Genomic DNA, 4850 nt, shown 5'->3' on the forward strand with positions numbered 1-4850 from the left:
ACATTGTTGATATGGAGACTTTTCCTAACATTGCCTCTTTATATTTCTCATTGCTATAGGATTATATAGTTGCATCTGTGGGTTTCAGCGTGTGGCGTTAAAGTTTAACAAACCAAGAAGCAAATGGAACAAATGACTGCAGATGCATTTCTCGTGGCTTTAAGGGGGCTGTGTAGTAAGATTGAAATATGATGGGCTTTGAGGTGGTTCAAATCTCATTCATGTACCCATTAACTGTGTGACCTTGGACAAGGTCTGTGGGCTTAACTTTTGTGAGCACACCTATACAAAGAATACTACAATGCATATTCACAAGGTTAGTGTGAGAGTTAAATACATGGAAAGCACCCAGCCTGTGCCTGGAGGTGCTCAGAATATATTCGTTTCCTTCCCTCCTTTCTCTGATTATTCAGCTAGTTGCCAGACTCTAGCAAAGTCGCCCCACCTCACTGCACCTTGTCTTTCTAGTGTTCCGTGAAAAACATGCAAAGTCAGTGGTTTGGCGACTCAGATGTTCTTCTAACTCTGTAATGCTGGGAGTCTGTGATGCAACAGCTGCTGTTCAGGCTACTTAGGCAGTTTTTCTGGTTTGTCCATCCTCCCCGCCATGCCCATCCCTGCCATGATTAATTGCTTGGCTAAGGAGTCATGCAGCTGTTTATGACTAGGTTGATTAGGGGAAAAGTAAAGATCATTTTTAAAAGCCTTAAAGGGACAATAGAGTGGCTTAGAACCTGCCAGAATAGGGGGTGAAATTTGAAGTTGCTGAACACACCAATGGGAACAATCCCTTTTCCATCTGAGAAGGCTGACTGCGTGACTGCGTTTCTGCTCTTAGAAAATTCACTGCAAGGAAAAGGGTAAAGAGTGGATTTGCTGGCTCAGGCAATTTTAAACCCTGGAAAAGCTATAGAAAAGCTTTCCTTTGACACCATCCCACCTCCTATTTTTGTGTCGTTTCTTTCCTTCCCTTCATTCTGTCCTGTGTGGTATCCCATAGACCTGACTTCCCCATTTCTCACAAAATCTACCTCTTCTTCCCGCAGATCAAGTGCTGTCTTGGTACCTGACTGTCAGAAGGCTGACAGGGGAAAATAGGTTTGAGAAATCAATTCAGAAGCAGGCTTCTCTCTATAAGGTTATGTGCAAACTCTTCTAGGGGCCTTTGCACGCTAAAGGAATTGCTTCTTAATGTAATCATACATTTAATTGGGTTAGGTTATTCTATGCAAATTGTAAAAAGAATTAATGGTACAATGTGACTGCCTTAAGAAGCTGTATAATTTCAGGCTTCATTAATATGAACACATACCAAGGAGGAGGTGTAAATCCCAATCTGACTCCATGGGGATCAGGCTTCCTGGGGTCTTTACATGTAGTTCTGGGCTTCTCTCTTTAAGAGGCACCTAGACATAATGGGATACATTTGGTTCAGGGAAGAGTGAAGAGCAGAGGGAGGTCTACCTTCCACTCTCAAGTGGAATGCCTTTTAGGAAAGGGGAAGACCTCTTCAATAGCATGGTGCCAAGAGGAAGAAATAGGAACAATGGGTGAAAAGTACAGGGACTTTTTTTGCCCAGTATGAAGATGGCAATGTTTGAGTCAGAGCTGCCCAAAGATGCCATGGGCTGTCAGGGGGCAGCTCTCAAGGAGATTCCAGCCCATATGAGTGACCAGACCTGTTCTCCTTTCCATCTCTTCCAGCCCAGATCACCAAGGCTCTCCAAGAGTGAAACCCCAGGGATCATTCTGTGGCTGGAGATGATTCTTGGAGTGGGGAAAATTTCCTCCCAGGGATTTGCATCATATTCCCCAGGCAGGTACAAAGCTGAGCCCTGGACAGAGCTGGTATTATTCAGATGAGAAGAAATAAGTGATTTCCAGGGGCCAAGGCTTTATTTCTCACATTGACATAACATTCCAGCTGTGGGAAATAGACATTTCACTGATTTACTGTGGTGGTAGCTCTCTGCAGCTCCTGAATGCTTATGGGTATGAATCATTTTTTATTTTGTCTCTATGGACTGAATCCCTAGCAAGATAAGGAGGCATTTTGCCAAATCCAGATATGCTGTTTAGGTGATGGAATACATTTAAATTTTTTGAGGATTAAATTAATTTTTCTGACCTAGATAATCCCTCTCTTCCAAAGAAAACTATTCTGGAAGATTTATAGAAGGTATTCAAGGATATTTGGATCTTAGGCAAGTTTGACTTAATCTTACCTGTTCTAGTAGAGCTTTAGGAATTACATTTTCTATAAACTAACAAGAAATGAGAGAAAGTAGTACTTGATATACACTTTTGACTCTCTCACATCCCAGAAACTTAAAGACCAGCAGTTTTATGAGCTGTATTTTATAAGCTCTGTATATCCAATTGTGTTCCTTTCTTCTTTCTTTATATTTTAAAATTAGAATTCTTTCCTTTCAGAATCAAAATTGGTGTTCAATAAATCATTATTTACAACAATGCTATACAAAGCTTTCTAAATTGCTAATGACTCAAATAAATGATAGTACAGCAAGTATATAAAATCAAATATGTAGATAAATCACAACTTTAAAATTCCCACTTTTCTGCTGTCCCTGAGGACTGTAAATAATACTGCCATAACAAAATACCATAGGTTGCATGACTTAAACAACAGGGATTTATTTCTCAGAGTTTTGTGGGCTGGAAGTCTGAGATCAGGGTGTCAGCATGGTTGGGTTCAGGTGGAGGCCTTCTTCCTGGGTTGTAGGTGGCAATGATCTCATTGTGTCTTCACATGATGACTTCTCCTCTTTGTGTGCATACAGAGGTACAGAGAGAGAGAGAGAAGAGAGAGGGCTTTGGGCGAAGGAGTGAACACACAGTGTCTCCTCTTAGAAGGGTGCTAATCTCATCAGACCAAGGCCCTGCCCTCGTGGCATCATCTAACCCTAATTACTTTCCAAAGGCCCCATCTCCAATACCATCACTCTAGGGGTTAGGCCTACAACATAGGAATTTTGGGAGGACACAAATATTCAGTCCATAGTACTTGGCATTCAGTAGTGCTTTTAAATGGAAGTACATTTAGTAATCAAACTGATTAAACGTATTTTTAAAAGGACCTATGTATAAGACATCTTATTCAGCAGTGTTTTGTATTTCTTCTTGTAGAGACCTTTCACCTCCTTGTTTAGCCGTATTCCCAGGCACTTCATTTTCTTTGTGGCTATTGTAAGTGGGATTGTGTTCTTGATTTCACTCTCAGCCTGGATATTGCTGGTGTGTAGAAATGCTGATCTTTTAAATTGATTTTGTATCTTGAGATTTTATTAAAGTTGTTTATCAATTCGATGAGCCCTTTGGCAGTCTTTAGGATTTTCTAGGTATAGAATCATATCATGAGCAAAGATAGTTTGACTTCTTTTCCTATTTGGATGCCTTTTATTTCTTTCTCTTGCCTGATTGCTCTGGCTAGGACTTCTAGTACTATGTTGGATAGGAGTGGTGAGACTGGGCATCCTTGTCTTCTTCCAGTTCTCAAAGGGAATGGTTTGAGCTTTTGCCCATTCAGTATGATGTTGGCTGTGGGTTTGTCATAGATGGCTCTTACGATTTTGAGGTACGTTCCTTCAATGCCTTGCCTGTTGAGGTTTTTTTTTGTCATGAGGGAATGTTGCATCTTACTGAAAGCTTTGTCTGCTAAAAGAAATCAGAGATGACACAAATAAATGGAAAAAATATTCCTTGCTCATGGATTGAAAGAATCAATATCATAAGAATGGCCACATTGCCCAAAACAATTTTCAGATTCAATGCTACTCCTATCAAACTATCAATGTGATTTCTCACAGAATTAGAAAAAACTATTCTAAAATTCATATGGAACCAAAAAAGAGCCCAAATAGCCAAAGCAATCCTAAGCTAAAAAAACAAAGCCAGAGGCATCACACTACCTAACTTCAAAGAATACCCTAAAGCCACAGTACCCAAAACAGCTTTGTACTGTTACAAAAACACATAGGCCAATGGAACAGAATAGAAAACTCAGAAATAAAGCCATACCTATGACCATCTAATCTTTGACAAGGCCAGCAAAAACAAGGAATGGTCAAAGGACTCCCTTTTCAATAAATGGTGCTGGAATAACTGGCTAGCCATATGCAGAAGATTAAGGCTGGAACCCTGTCTTTCACCATATACAAAAATTAACTCAGGCCCGGCTTGGTGGCTTACACCTGTAATCCCAGCAATTTGGGAGACTGAGGTGGGAGGACTGCTTGAGCCCAGGAGTTTGAGACCATCTAGGGCAACATAGCGAGAGCCCTTTTTAAAAACAACAACAAAAACAAAGACAAAACCCTCAAAATGTAAGACTCAAATTATAGAAATCCTGGAGGACAACCTAGGAAATATTCTTCTTGACATTGGCCTTGGCAAAGAATTTTTGGCTAAGTCCCCCAATGCAATTGCAACAAAAACAAAAATACAAGTGGGACCTAATTAAAGTAAAAAGCTTCTTTCTGCACAGCAAAAGAAACCATCAACAGAGTAAACAGACAACTTACAGAATGGGAGAAAATATTCACAAACTATGCATCCAACAAAGGCCTAATATCCAGAATCTATAGGGAGCATAAACAAATCAACAAGCGAACACCAAATAATCCCATTAAAAAATGGACGAAGGACATGAACAGTTACTTCTCAAAAGAAGACATACAAGCTGTCAACAAATATATAAAAAATGCTCATCATCACTAATCATCAAAGAAATGCAAATCAAAACCACAATGAGATACCATCCCATGCTGGTCAGAATGGCTATTATTAAAAAGTCAAAAAATAATAGATGCTGGTGAGGCTGTGGAGAAAAG

The 4850-nt window shown here is 39.9% G+C and overlaps 1 annotated feature.

The window, feature by feature from the left end:
• Positions 529 to 578: a silencer, noted in NCBI's record as "silent region_18681". NCBI's record gives its function as "represses an Ori minimal core promoter by ATAC-STARR-seq in GM12878 lymphoblastoid cells {active_cell/tissue: GM12878}" and the evidence as "EXISTENCE:reporter gene assay evidence [ECO:0000049][PMID:35858748]".

Source organism: Homo sapiens, chromosome 7 (genome assembly GCF_000001405.40).
Source record: "Homo sapiens chromosome 7, GRCh38.p14 Primary Assembly".
Taxonomy (NCBI): Eukaryota; Metazoa; Chordata; class Mammalia; order Primates; family Hominidae; genus Homo; species Homo sapiens.